This window comes from Homo sapiens, chromosome 22 (genome assembly GCF_000001405.40).
Source record: "Homo sapiens chromosome 22, GRCh38.p14 Primary Assembly".
Lineage (NCBI taxonomy): Eukaryota > Metazoa > Chordata > Mammalia > Primates > Hominidae > Homo > Homo sapiens.
Genome location: NC_000022.11, coordinates 26633227 through 26647632, shown reverse-complemented (window position 1 = coordinate 26647632; position 14406 = coordinate 26633227). Strand labels below are relative to the sequence as shown.

The 14406-nt window shown below is 47.6% G+C and overlaps 1 long non-coding RNA gene and 1 pseudogene across 6 annotated transcripts in view, besides 5 other annotated features; one reads left to right on the top strand and one right to left on the bottom strand.

Moving 5' to 3' along the window:
- The window catches only part of MIAT (myocardial infarction associated transcript), a 30050-nt gene extending 28846 nt beyond the window's left edge, over window positions 1-1204 (bottom strand). For 5 of the 6 annotated variants that reach the window (NR_185985.1, NR_185984.1, NR_185986.1 and 2 more), the window contains exon 1: window positions 674-1204. This is a non-coding gene — a long non-coding RNA (myocardial infarction associated transcript). Of the gene's footprint in view, window positions 1-292; window positions 460-673 lie in introns of all 6 variants that reach the window. The other variant, NR_185987.1, reaches the window with a different exon arrangement.
- Window positions 1909-2474: an enhancer, noted in NCBI's record as "OCT4-NANOG-H3K27ac-H3K4me1 hESC enhancer chr22:27041123-27041688 (GRCh37/hg19 assembly coordinates)". NCBI's record gives its function as "activates a minimal SCP1, AML or CMV promoter by ChIP-STARR-seq in naive H9 embryonic stem cells {active_cell/tissue: H9 hESC(naive)}" and the evidence as "EXISTENCE:reporter gene assay evidence [ECO:0000049][PMID:30033119]".
- Window positions 2021-2110: a silencer, noted in NCBI's record as "silent region_13575". NCBI's record gives its function as "represses an Ori minimal core promoter by ATAC-STARR-seq in GM12878 lymphoblastoid cells {active_cell/tissue: GM12878}" and the evidence as "EXISTENCE:reporter gene assay evidence [ECO:0000049][PMID:35858748]".
- On the top strand, window positions 2287-2938 carry ISCA2P1 (iron-sulfur cluster assembly 2 pseudogene 1; annotated as a pseudogene).
- Window positions 3974-4268: an enhancer, noted in NCBI's record as "tiled region #12592; HepG2 Activating non-DNase unmatched - State 21:Repr, and K562 Activating DNase matched - State 5:Enh". NCBI's record gives its function as "activates a minimal TATA promoter and a strong SV40 promoter by Sharpr-MPRA in HepG2 and K562 cells {active_cell/tissue: HepG2 | K562}" and the evidence as "EXISTENCE:reporter gene assay evidence [ECO:0000049][PMID:27701403]".
- Window positions 4454-4748: a silencer, noted in NCBI's record as "tiled region #8650; K562 Repressive DNase unmatched - State 5:Enh". NCBI's record gives its function as "represses a minimal TATA promoter and a strong SV40 promoter by Sharpr-MPRA in K562 cells {active_cell/tissue: K562}" and the evidence as "EXISTENCE:reporter gene assay evidence [ECO:0000049][PMID:27701403]".
- Window positions 4928-5792: an enhancer, noted in NCBI's record as "OCT4-NANOG-H3K27ac-H3K4me1 hESC enhancer chr22:27037805-27038669 (GRCh37/hg19 assembly coordinates)". NCBI's record gives its function as "activates a minimal SCP1, AML or CMV promoter by ChIP-STARR-seq in primed H9 embryonic stem cells {active_cell/tissue: H9 hESC(primed)}" and the evidence as "EXISTENCE:reporter gene assay evidence [ECO:0000049][PMID:30033119]".

Here is a 14406-nt window from a genome sequence, read left to right as displayed (position 1 = left end):
CCATGGCTGGCCCCCAGCCCAAGGTTCCACCCTCATCATTCAGCACGCTCCCACCCCAGGCACACACTTCCAGGAGCAGCCCAGCCTCATGGTCTTCAGGGAACCTTCCCTGACTTTTAGGTCCCTGGATTGACTGGGGCCCCGCTCCTTCTGGGGCTGATTTCAGTTTAGAATTACATATCCATTTGCTTTTCTGTTGTACACAATCTCTCTCTCTCTCTCTCTCTCTCTCTCTCTCTCTCTCTCTCTCTCTCTCTCCACCCCCCACGTCCCCGCCGCCCCCACAACTAACCCGTGAGGTTCATCATGGGAGAAGCCTACTTTTTTGTCGCATCCCAGCATCTCCAGGGCACGGTGAAGGGTGTGCTACCCCGGAGGCCTTCCACATATGTTTGCCAGAAGAATGACTAAATCTTGAAGCTTCCAATGCTGCGGTTCTGGAGGGCTTCTCAGAAAGCACTTTATAGATGGAACAGAGACCCAGAGAAGAAAGGTGGCTTGCCTGAGGTCTCCGTTTCAATACAGCCATGCTGACGGTGTCATCCCAGGGTCTCCAGGGACCCCAGCTGCTTATGCCTTCTAAAGGTCAGTCTTTCCTTTAAAAGCCAATCAAATGTCTCAAGTGCCCACCTTGAAAGGGCTGCAGAAATGCAGTCCCCTTTCAGGGACTTACCTGGCTTGTCTGGGTTGATGATGCCGTCTTCATCTCTTGCTCTGAACATCTGTTCCTGTCACCTTGATCCTATCTACCTGTCTCTATTCCTGTGGCCTGTGGTCCTCTCTGCAGACACAGAGGCCGACTCCCACACCACCCTCATTATTCCTCATAGTACAAACAACACAAAGCTCTTGGGGAAAGCACTAAGACAGTTTGGGGCAAATAATAACACTTACTGAGCATTTACTGTGTTTCAGGTTCTGGGATAAATGCTATAAATGCAATAGCTATTAACAGTCCAGTGATGCCGGGGACACACAATCTCTCCCCATTTTATAGACAAGGAAACTGAAGATAAACAGACACAACTAGAAGGGATCTGAGCCAAATTTCAGTCTCAACAATCTGCATCCAGATCCTGGCCGCATAGAGCCCTCTCCCTGACCCTGTCCCACGACACCTTCTGAGGCTCCCATCATCTTCCACCTGGTCAGCAACCCCTGTACAGTCCTCCCTGCCTCTCGTGGTTCCTGTCTACTCCAGCCTGCCCACCCCCACACAGCCACGCCACAGCCGTCCTGCAGAACAGTACATTCCTTATTTATGAGATGCATCTGGGCTCTCTGCAAATCAGCTGTGAATGCCACAATGCCTGCAGGAGGGAGGCAGAGAATTCTGGAGCCAACATCTTCCAGAAGGCAGGTAGGGACTGGGCTCAGGGTACAAGGCTCTAGTAGGGGCACCCACTGGGCCTGCAGAGCACAAATGGCACTGGGGAAAAAGTGATCTGTGCTGTTGATCTCCTTTGCATCCTAGCCTGCATCACATAACTGGCAGAGAGCCTGGAGGATGGGGAGGTGGGAAATAGGGTGGACACTAATATTAATCCAGCATCTCCTGAAACACACACAAAACCCTCCAAGGCAGGGATTCTTGTGCCCACTTTATAGGGGAGGAAACTGAGACTTGCAGAAGGTAGGCAAGCTCTTTCTGAATGTATAACCTTGCTTTGTCCCTCCTGTCCCTTACAAAGAGGAGAGTTAAGGTGGCTGGAAGGATGTCCTGAACATCATCAGAAAACTAAATATAAAATAAGGTAGGAAAATGAGGCCCAGGGGAAGGAATGTGGACTCAGAGATTAAGCTCCTCTTCTAAATTCCTGCCATGCGATTCTATCCAGTTGCTAACAGTGAACTGTACGCTGGTTCCAGGTGTCCTGGAAGACAATGCAAAGAGGGAATACAATTAGTTTCACAAGTGGCCAATGTCTGCAAAGAGGAAAGAAACTAGAGGCACAGTGACAGAGCTATGGCTGGTACTGAAAACAGAGAAGGAGGTGTAGCCCCACTCCAATCTCAATCCCAGATACCTACACTTCTGGGAACTAGCTCTTGGTTCCCTTTCCACCATCCCTCTACCCCACCACCGGGGAGAGGGCGGGGTGGGGGCGGAGCAGGCGCGCAATCTGATCCCACCGTGGAGGGTGTGTTTTTATATCTTACCACCAGGTGGCAGTGCGGGGCAGGTCTCAGTAGGAGGTTTCCTAGGACAGGCAGGTTTCTTAGGAACCTCAGTGAGTGAGTGCTACAGCCTTAGGTGGAACCTCAACAAAGAAATTGATCTCCTGGGTGGAGGAAGATGGTTGCCGCCCAGGGGTTGTCCTTAAGGGCCGCGACGCAGACAGCGGTCACTTCCTGGCCGAGGGGCAGGCTCCTCGCGGCCTCCCTGGGACTCCGGGCGTGTCGTCCAGCCCCGAGGCCGGCGACGGGCAGATCCGCCTCACGGACAGCTGCGTCCAGAGGCTTCTGGAAATCACCAAAGGATCAGAATTCCTCAGGCTGCAGGTGGAGGGAGGTAGATGCTCCGGATTCCAGTACAGATGTTCACTGGATACAGTTATCAACCCCGACGACGGTATTTGAACAGGGTGGGGCAAGAGTGGTGGTTGACTCTGATAGCTTAGCCTTCGCGAAAGGGGCCTAGGTGGACTTCAGCCAAGAACTGATCCGAAGCTCATTTCAAGTGTCAAACAATCCTCAAGCACAGCAAGGCTGCTCCTGTGGGTCATCCTTCTCTGTCAAACTTTGATGCGATGACAGGTGACTCTGAGATTGTCACCAGTTGTACCAATTTGAGGAACGTGGAATTAGTAGAATTCTAGAAGTTTCCTTCTAATCATGTCCCTCTCCATTTTATTTCCCACAGTCCAGGAGTATTGTGTTATGCCACTATTATTTTCAGAACGGGAAGATTTTACTCTTGGCTTAATTTTTCCCTCCAACTCCCCTCAGTGCTAAGGCTGAGCCTCCAGATGCTGTTACCTCAGATTTAATCACTAGCTGAAACTCCATATAATCTGTAGAGCCTCCACAGCTCTAAAATTTGGAATTAACTTCTCTGGCCTTAAGAGCTGCTTGTACATATGTGGATAGCTATGTATAAAAGCTTCATTTAAAAAAAAAGAAAGAGAAGAAATTGATCTCCTGCTCTGCCAGAATGAAGAGCCCTGGACAGAGAATCAGGAGCCCAGAATTCAAATCCCAGCTCTGCTTCCAGGGCTCTGTGCAAACCGGAGCACATCAACTTGCCTTTTCAGTGTTGGTCTTTTCATCTGAGAAAGGGGGAGATTTATGGAGGGAGGAGGAGACTGAGACCCAGCAATGGAGGACGATCATGGCCAATGAAGCCTGGGACAGGCAGAAGTGGAGAGAAAGAATTTCCAAACTAGAGGAGAAAAAAAAAAAGAGGGGGTAAAGGGCCCATTTCCAGGAAGGTGAGCTCTGCTTTGTGTCTTCTGGTTGGTTCGGGGGAGTAAACTAGTCAGGACTTTTTCAAATGGAAATGACAGAAACTCATCTTAAAATGTCTTGGTAGAACCAAAAAAAAAAAAAAAAAAAAAACGCAAACCAGGGAGAGAGTGTTCTTTGGCTCCTGTGATAAAAAGCGAATGGGAGTGGGGCATGGTGGCTCACGCCTATAATCCCAACACTTTGGGAGGCCGAGGTGGGCAGATCACCTGAGGTCACGAGTTCGAGACCAGCCTGGGCAACACAGTGAAACCCCATTGCTACTAAACGTACAAATATTAGCCAGATGTGATGGTGCACGCTTGTAATCCTGGCTACTCGGGAGGCTGAGGCAGGAGAATCACTTGAACCCAGCAGGCAGACGTTGCAGTGAACTGAGATCACACCATTGCACTCCAGTCTGGGTGATAGAGTGAGACTCTGTCAAAAAAAAAAAAAAAGCAAATGGGGTGTTTGCAATAACAAGATGCTTGAGCTCATTCTCACCATCTCCAGCCTCGGCTTTCTCCTGCACCAGTTTTGTTTGCAGGGTGGCTTTGATGGCAAGGTCCAAAATTACATCCTATGAGCTTCTTAAGCTCTGCTCAAAGAGAGCTGTTCTTTCTGAATTGATCCAACCAGAGTTTTAGAGCCGATTCTCACTGGCTCAAATTGGATCACGTGCTCGTCCATCCTGAACCCAATCACGATGACTATTATTGGCCAAACCTGGGTTATGTCCTCCCTTTTGGAATCAAGATGGGTCAACCCCATTCAGTGACTTGAGTCAGAGAAGAGGAAGGGTGATTGTTTAATCTAAAACTGAGGGTCCACCCAGAAGCTGCTAAAGGTCCGGGGAGGATAAAATAGCAGAAGGCCACCTCCCTCCAGTGGGGAGGAACCTGTCATGACCCACAGGCCTGCCTCCCTGATGTTTTGTGTCAAGAGAAGATTCCAGGAACTCACAGCAGAAAAAGGAAGGGCCTCTCCACCCCCTCCCCTATTTCCCCTCTATTAATCTTCTAATTACAGTAACTGGTAAACAGAGGCCCCAGGAAGTAGGAGCGGTGGGTGGGGATTCACCACCCGCAGGCCGGGTGGGGGCCTCACTTGCTCAGTTTCCTCCCGGCTGAGGTGAGGGGCCAGCCCCCTGGTGGCTGCTGACTCAGAGATTGTGGATGTGTGAGGGCCTCACCAGGTGCCCAGCACAGAGCAGAGCGCTCAGTAGATGCCGTCTCTCCTTTCCACAAATGGCTGTGGTGAGGGTGGTTGTTACTGGAATCATCACTGCTTTTGTCCTTGTTAATAATGAATACGCATTCCATACAGGCCTCTCTCAGGGGAGCACAAACAAAAGCTTGCCAGTGCTCCTTTTCTCTCTCTCCATCTCTCTCTTTCCCCTTGGTCTCTCCACTCTCCTCTCTCTCTTTCTCCTGTTTCTCTTGCCTCTCTCCCCACCTCCTCTCCTTCTTTCTCTGTCTCTCTGTCTCTCCCCTCTCTCCCCACTGTCTCCCTCTCTCTCTTTGTGTCTCTCCCCATCTTTCTCTCCCCTCTCTCCCCTGACCCCTACTCTCTCCTCTCTCTCCCTCTCTCTCTTCCCTCTCTCCTCTGTCTCTCCCTTCTCTCTCCCTCCATTTTTCTCTTCTCTCTCTTCTCAGTCTGTCCCCCCACCTCCTCTCTCTCCCTCTTTCTCTCTTTCTCTGGCCTCTCTCTCTCCCCTCTGACTCCCTTCCTCTTGTTCTCGCCCCTCTCTCCCTCTCTGCCTCCCTCCCTTCCTCTCATAAACACACCCTAGATGTGTAGGATCTTCAGCTTCTCACCCCCTTTCACGCTAGGTGGTTGTGTTCCTTTTTCTCTGATGACTCCCACTGAAGTCTTTGTCACAGCTTTGCTCTTGGGGATCTCAGTGGAGCAGTAGTGAGAGCTCAGGTAGAGGGGCAGGAGGAGGAACCAGGTCTTGATGTCACTTAGCATAATAGCATAATGTCCTGCAGGTTCATCCATGTTGTCACCAATGGCAGGATTAACCTTCTTTTTTTTTTTTTTTTTTTTGAGACAGAATCTCTGTAGCCCAGGCTGGAGTGCAGTGGCATGATCTCAGCTTACTGCAACCTCCTCCTCCTTCACTGGGGTAGAGGGGGCAGGAGAGGGAGAAAGGGAAGAATAAGAAAGACGTGTGTGTGTGTGTGTGTGTGTGTGTGTGTGTGTGTGTGTGTGTGTGTGTGTGTGTCTTACCTGATTGATCTGGCTAGAACTTCAAGCGCAATGTTGACTAGAGGTCGTGAGAGTGGTCTTCCTGATCTTAAAGGAAAAGCTTTCAGCTTTGCACTATTGAGTATGATGTTAGCTATGGGCTTGTCATATATGGCCTTTATTGTGTTGCGGTACGTTCCTTCTGTGCCTAATTTATTGAGAGTTTTTATCAGGAAAATATGTTGAATTTTATCAAGTGCTTTTTCTCTATCTATTGAGGTGATCTTATGGTTTTTGTCCTTAATTCATTAATGTAGTGATCACATCTTTGTTTTGTTTTGTTTTGGTTTTTGATTTTGGGTTTTTTTGAGACAGAGTCTCACTCTGTCGCCTGGGCTGGAGTGCAGTGGTACAATCTTGGCTCACTGCAGCCTCCGCCTCTGGGGTTCAAGTGATTCTCCCACCTCAGCCTCCTGAGTAGCTGCGACTACAGGCATGTGCCACCATGCCCGATTAAGTTTTGTATTTTTAGTAGAAACATTTTCTCCATGTTGGCCAGGCTGACCTCAAATAATGGCACCTGATCTCAGGTGATCTGCCCGCTTCAGCCTCCCAAAGTGCTAGGATTACAGGCATGAGCCACCGCGCCCAGCTCACATTTATTGATTTGTCTATGTTGACCCACCCTCGCGTCCCAGGGATAAATCCCACTTGATCATGATGAATGATCCTTTTAATGTGCTGTTGAATTTGGTTTGCTAGTATTTGGTACCTATTCTTATCAGAGATATTGGCCTGTAATTATCTTTCCTTGTGTCCTGGTCTGGCTTTGCATTCAGGATAATGCTGTAAAATATGCTTGGAAGTATTCCTTCTTCTTTATTTTGGAAGAGTTTGGGAAGGATAAGTATTGGTTTTTCTTTAAATGTTTGATGGAATTTCACCGTGAAGCCATGTGGTCCTGGTCTTTTCTTTAGTGGGAGATTTTTTTTTTTCGGGCAAAGGACTTAAATAGACACTTCTCAAAAGAAGCCATACAAATGGTCAACATATATATGAAAACATGCTCGGCATTATGAATCATCAGGAAAATGCAAACTAAAGCCACCATGGGATATCTCCTCCCACCTGTTAGAATGGCCAGTATCAAAAAGACAAAAGAGAAGTGAGGGCCAGGATGTAGGAAAACGGAACCCTTATGTGCTGTTGGTGGGAATGTAAATTAGTGCAGCCGTTATGGAGAACAGGATGGAGGTTCCTCAGAAAACTAAAAATAGAATTGCCATATGATCCAGCAATCCCACTGCTGGATATCTATCCAAAGGAATTGAAGTCAGTATGCTGACGAGATGCCTGCACCCCCATGTTCATTGCAGCACTATTCACAATAGCCAAGACAGGAATCAATCTACAGTCCATTCATCTGTCCATCAACAGATGAATGGATTTTTTAAATGTGGTGTCTATATGCACAATGGCTAAAAAAGGAGGTTATTGGGAAGCCAAGGTGGGCAGGTCACCTGAGGTCAGGAGTTCAAGACCAGCCTGCCCAATGTAACAAAGCCCTGTCTCTACTAAAAATACAAAAATTAGCCAGGCGTGGTGGCAAGTGTCTGTAATCCCAGCTACGCGGGAGGCTGAGGCAGGAGAATCGCTTGAACCCAGGTGGTGGCGGTTGCAGTGAGCCGGGATCAAGCCACTGCACTCCAGCCTGGGCAACAGAGAGAGAGTCCATCTCAAAAAAAAAAAGGAAGAAAGAAAAAGGAGGTTAATCCTGCCATTGGTGACAGCATGGATAAACCTGGAGGACATTATGCTAAGTGAAATAAGGCAGGCACAGAAGACAAATACCGTATGATCTCACTCATATGTGGAATCTAAAGAAGTTGAACTCATCAAAGTAGAGAGTGGAACGGTGGTTACCAGAAGCTGGAGGAGGGGGTGGAGGGGGAAAGGGGAGAAAGGGGAGACATCGATCAGAGGGTGCAAAGTTTCAGTTAAACAGGAGAAATAAACTCTAGTGATCTGTTGCACAGCATGGTGACTATAATAAATACTAGTGCATTGTATATTTCAAAATTGCTAAGCGTAGATTTTAAATGTGTTCATCACAAAAAAATAAGTATGTGAGGTGATGAATTTGTTAATTAGCCCAGTTTAATCATTCCACATTGTAAACACATATCAAAACATCACATTGTACCCTATGTATGTATATAATTGTTATATGTCAATTAAAAATACAATTTTTTGGCCAGGTGCGGTGGCTCACGCCTGTAATCCCAGCACTTTGGGGGGCCGAGGCGGGCGGATCACCTGAGGTCTGAAGTTCAAGACCAGCCTGACCAACATGGTGAAACCTCATCTCTACTAAAAATACAAAATTAGTTGGGTGTGGTGGCACATGCCTGTAATGCTAGCTACTCGGGAGGCTGAGGCAGGAGAATCGTTTGAACCCGGGAGGCAGAGGTTGCAGTGACTTATGATTGATCACGCCATTGCACTCCAGCCCGGGCAACAAGAGCAAAACTAAGTTTAAAAAAAAAAAAATACAATTTTTAAAATAAATCTTTTTTTTTTTTTAAAGAAAGAAAGAGAGGCGGGCACGGTGGCTCAAGCCTGTAATCCCAGCACTTTTGGAAGCCAGAATGGGCAGATCACTTGAGCCCGAGAGTTTGAGATCAGCCTGGGAAATATAGTGAGACCTATCTCTACAAAAAGAGTTTAAAAATTACCCAGGCATGGCCCAGCTACTCAGGGGGCTGAGGTGGGAGGATCACTTGAGCCGAGGAGGTAGAGGCTGCAGTGAGCTGTGATTGCTCCTGCACTCCAGTCTTTGTGACAGAGCAAGACCCAGTCTCAAAAAAGAAAAAAAGAGAAGGCTCACATTGTGGATTATTTTCAAAGCATTTTTCCAGGTATCAACTCCTCGAACCCTCATAACAGCCTTCCTCTTTAAGAGGCGAGGAAACTGAGGCTCAGTGGGGCAAAGCAGCTCACTGAAGATCACCTTACCTGGTAAACACAGGATCCAGGATTCACACCCAGGTGTGTGCAACACCCGGTGTCTTTTCTTCTGTGCTGTATCACCTACTCACAGGTGTGAGCACCTAGGGAACAGGCTGCAAGGAGCAACATGGATAGTGCCTACTGTGTGGTCTTGAACAAGTCCCCTTCCCTCTCTGGGCAAAGAGGTTGCTGGTTTGGGATCCACAGCCCTGGACCCTGTGTTCAGTCCTGTCGGCTGTGTGCATTGTTCCAGGTGATGGGTGTTCCATGCCTACCACTCACTTCTGACCAAATAGCATCAATAATTTAAGCTCTCTTTCTTTCATAACCTAAGAAAATTGGTCCCCTGGCAAGACATGAAAAATAATTTCATGCTCTGTTATCTCCCCTCTCAAGATCGCCCCTGACAAATTGTCTCTTTATTGTCTGTTGCTCTAGCATCAGCTCACATTTGGGCTCCCATTTTTTATGGTTGCCAGCCTTACTCCTGGCTCTAACTGGGGTGGCTCCTAAAATGATCACCACCAAATTTCAATTTCCTTCCTTCCTTCCTTCTTTCCCTCCTTCCTCTCTCTCTCCCTCCCTTCCTTTCCTCCCTCATTCCTTCCTCCCTTTTTCCCTCCCTCCTTCCTCCACTCCTTCCTTCCTTCCTTCCTGCAGCAAGTATGGCCCGCTTTGCCCAAGGACCTGAGGCTTTCCTATAAGAAACTCTATAGTTGTTAATACTAAAGTGTGAAGGGCTTTTTTTTTTTTTTCTCCTGAGATGGAGCCTTGCTCTGTCACCCAGGCTGGAGTGTAGTGGCACCATCTCGGCTCACTGTAACCTCTGCCTCCCAGGTTCAAGCGATTCTCCTGCCTTAGCCTCCCGAGGAGCTGGGATTACAGGTACACACCACCACACCTGGCTAATTTTCGTATTTTTAGTAGAGTCGGGGTTTCACCATGTTGATCAGGCTGATCTCAAACTCCTGACCTCGTGTTCCGCCTGCCTCGGCCTCCCAAAGTGCTGGGATTACAGGCACGAGCCACCACACCCAGCCCCTTGTTTAACTCTTTAAAGGGAGGACATGAACCCAGCAACTTATTGTTTATACATTTTATTTGTGCCCATTATCTCTTTCATCCACCCCCCAAAACCTTGCACAACCTACGGTGGGCTCAATGGTCCTGCAGGCTGGGTGGTCTCAGGCAAGTTGCTTGAACTCTCAGAGCCTCTGAGCCTCACGTCTCTGCTTTAAATAGACAATAATTGCATAAAGAAGTTACTGTGAGGTTTTTTTGTTTTTTTGTTTTTTGGTTTTTTTTGAGATGGAGTCTCGCTCTGTCCCCCAGGCTGGAGTGCAGTGGTGCAATCTCGGCTCATTGCAAGCTCCACCTCCAGGCTTCATGCCATTCTCCTGCCTCAGCCTCCCGAGTAGCTGGGACTACAGGTGCCCGCCACCACACCCGGCTAATTTTTTTGTATTTTTAGTAGAGACGGGGTTTCACCGTGTTAGCCAGGATGGTCTCGATCTCCTGACCTCGTGATCCACCCGCGTCGGCCTCCCAAAGTGCTGGGATTACAGGCGTGAGCCACCAGGCCCGGCCCTGTGAGGTTTAAATTATATCACATGTGAAAGGGATAAACACAATATGTATCATCGATATTATTATCATCATTATTCTGAGAAAGGTATGCTTGGGTAAAGGGTTTTGGGTGGAGATAAGGGAGGAGGTCAAAGCAAAGGGACCGAGAAATGTATAATAATACTAATAACAATATTAAGAATGATACTAACAATTTCCATCAACCTTTACTGAGAGCTTACCAAGTTCTTTGTGTGTACCCTGGGCACAGGCATATATATAATATATCATTTAACTTTTTGCAAGCAAGGAGATGAGAATTTCTCCATTAAAAGATGAGGAAACTGGGGTTACATGCTGGTAAACCCAGGATGCAAACCCAAACCCATGATGGCCTCTTCTGGAGGCTGGTGCCAACTCAGTCTTCCTGTCAAAGTCAAACAGTGGCCTCTCTGTGGTAGGTGCAGCAGAGCCCTCTACATCCAGTGCCTTCTAGGGCCTCAGGGGCTCTGAGTGAGGAAACTTCTAGCTGGAAGATGGTAGCCAGGCCCAGCCCTCATTCTGGGCCTCAGAGTCCACAGAGATTGACTTCATGGGCCTCTCTAAATTGTCCTCACCCCTATGTCTTCCTAATCCCATTTCCCTAGGACTGACCATGGAACCCCTTCCTGGACAGTACCCCTGCCCCTACAGCAACACTTACAACTTCCACAGTCCATTTCATAAAGCTCGTTTGGAAACTAATTCATACTAGGCTGTGAGTGGCTATCCTAGCTAACTCTAGCATTTCCTACCTTATGTTCCACAGGCCACTCATAATGCAAGGTGCTCCACAGAAGGGAAAGAACAAGTTCATAATTGTTCTGTGGTCAAATAAATTTGGAAAACTCTGAATATTCTATTCTCCCTTCCAGAGATTCACAATACATGTTAAACTATTGTAGGCACTGAGAAGTCCTGCAGTGTGGACACCAACAATACCCAAAACTAAAGCACATGATTTTTTTTTTCAAAGAACAATGTTACAACATCTGTGTAACAGTCTGAAAAATCCTGACTGAGCAGCCATGGAGGTATAGGGGAAATATCTGTATCCCTGGACAATTATATAAATTCCCCAAGGCAAGGGATTTTATCTTTGTTCCCTGTTAGATCCTGGAACCTGTAACAGTGTTTGGTACATAGCAGACATTTGATACATGTTTAATGAATGAATGAACGAATGAATGAACAAGTCTGTGTCTGAATCCTGGCTTTGCCTTTAACTTGCTGTATGGCCTTGATCAAGTCCCCACACTTCCCTGGGTTTCCATTTCCCTACGTGTTAAAAAGGGATGAAGGCCAGGTGTGGTGGCTCATGCCTGTAATCCTAACAATTTGGGAGGGTGAAGCAGGCGGATTGCTTGAGCCAAGGTGTGCGAGACCAGCCTGGGCAACATGGCAAAACCCAGTCTCTGCAAAAAACAAAAAACCTGGGCATGGTGTCATAGGCCTATAGTTTAGTCCCAGCTGCTTGGGAGGCTGAGGTGGGAGGACTGCTGGAGCCCGGGAGGCAGAGGTTGCAGTGAGCCGAGATTGTGCCACTGCACTCCAGCCTGGGTGACAGAGTGAGATGCTGTCTCTCACACACACACACACACACACACACACGATGAGATAAAATTATGCATTCTCAATATTGTTAAGAATGTTGTTGAAGCCCCAACCCCCAGTACTTCAGTAGGACCCCCAAGAGGTGAAAATTGATCTTGGGAAGCAAAAAAACCATCTTACTCTTTATGTATAAAACACAGATATATATACAGAGTTTGTACAGACGTATATTACATACTTTATATTTGTGATATTAAAACTTCATGGGGTGGGGTCAGGTGTGGTGGCTCACACCTGTAATCCCAGCACTTTGGGAAGCCAGGGTGGGAAGATCACTTGAGCCCAGGAGTTCAAGACCAGCCTGGGCAAAATGATGAGACCCCATCTCTAAAAACAAAACTTCATGGGGGGAGGTGTAGGAAAATAACATCTAAAAAGACTCTCTAGGGGGATGACAAGGAAAGACAAAATGTTGGGAAATGCTAGACTTGATGATCTAGAAGCGTCCTTGTTCTAGATCCAGATCTAGAAGGTCTGACAGTCTATGAATCTGGCTCTACGGGAGAGTGTTGATGGGAAATAGCAGAGGGAAGAGTGTTCTAGGAAGAGGGAACAGCACAAGCTGAAAACCTCAGATGGGAATGAGCCTGGGTTATGGGCTGGACTGTGTGCCCCTCTAGCAGCTGAAATAGCTCAGATGGGAGAGTGTTTGACCGAACTATGTCCCCCTAAAATTCATATGTTGAAGTCCCAAACCCCCAGTACCTCGGAATGTGACTGTATTTGAAGGTAAAGTGTTGAAAGAGGTGATGAAGTTTAAATGAGACCATTAGGGCGGGGCCCTAATCCAACAGGACTGGTGTCCTGTTGGAGGAAGAGGCAGCTGGGATGCATGTGCATAGCGACAAGACCATGTGAAGATTCAGGAAGAGGCTGGGCAAGGTGGCTCACAACTGTAATCCCAGCACTTTGGGAGGCGAAGGCAGGCAGATCACCTGAAGTCAGGAGTTCAAGATCAGCCTGGCCAACATGGCAAAACCCTGTCTCTACTAAAAACACAAAAATTAGCCAGGCATGGTGGCACACGCCTGTAATTCTAGCTACTCGAGAGGCTGAAGCAGGAGAAACTCTTGAACCTGGGAGGCGGAGACTGCAGCGAGCCAAGATCTCACCACTGCACTCCAGCCTGGGCAACAGAGTGAGACTCTGTCTTAATAATAATAATAATAATAATAATAATAACAATAATAATAATAAAAGAAGATGCAGGGAGAAAGGGGCCATCTACTAGCCATGGAGAGAGGTCTCAGGAAAAACCAGCCTTGCCGACACCTCTATCTTGGGATCCAGTCTCAAGAACTATGAGAAATATTTCTGTGGTTTAAGTCACCCAGGCTGTGGTATTGTGTTATAGCAACTGGAGCAGACTCATACACTTGCCCTCTTCTTCTTCTTCTTTGTTTTTTTAAATACAGAGACAGGGTCTTGCTATGTTGCCCAGGCTGGTCTCAAACTCCTGGGCTCAAGTGATTCTCCCACCTCAGCCTCCCAAAGTGCTGGGATTACAAGCATGAGCCACGGCACCTGACTTTTTGTTGTTGTTGTTCTTTCGGGGTGCTTTTTTTTTTTTTTTTTTTTTGATACAGTGTCTCTCCTCGCCCAGGCTGGAATGCAGTGGCACGATCACGGCTCACTTCAGCCTCAACCTCCCAGGCTTAAGTGATCCTCCCACCTCAGCCTCCCAAGTAGCTAGGGCCACAGGTGCACGCCACCAGACCTGGCTAACTTTTTAAAATTTTTTATGTAGAGATGGGATCTCAGTATGTTGCCCAGGCTGGTCTTGAACTCCTGGGCTCAAAGGATCCTACCACCTTGGCCTCCCAAAATGTTGGGATTACAGATGTTAGCCACCTGGCATCTTTAAAGAACAACCAATACAGGGACATGAGATCAAAATAGGTTGTGGGGAGAGTGGGGAGATGCAGATGATGACAAGCTTCACAGGACTGGGAATAATACTGGGTTTTTTTATTGTTGTTTTCTTGGCATGGTGGGGAGCATGGGAGGATTTTAAGCAGGAGTGTGACAAGATCTGCCTTACGTTTCTAGCAGGACCACTCTGAATGCTGGGCAGAGAGCAGATCACTCATGGGCAAAGACAAAAGCAGAGGGACTATGAGAAGGAGAGAGAAGAGGGTGGCTGGGACCAGAATGGCAGCAGTGGGCATGATGAGTGGGTTGGATTCTAATACATATTAAGAGTAGAGCTAGTGGCTGGGTGCCGTGGCTCATGCCTATAATCTCAGCACTTTGGGAGGCCGAGGCAGGCAAATCACTTGAGGTCAGGAGTTCGAGACCAGCCTGGTCAACATGGTGAAACCCTGTCTCTACAAAAAACGCAAAAATTAGCTGGGTGTGATGCACATGCCTGTAATCCTAGCTACTTGGGGGGCTGAGGCAGGAGAATCACTTGAACCTGGGAGGCAGAGGTTGCAGTGAGCTGAGATCGCGCCACTGCACTCCAGCCTGGGGACAAAGCAAGATGCCATCTAAAAAAAAAAAAAAAGAGTAGAGCTAGTAGGAATTGCCAATGGATTAGAA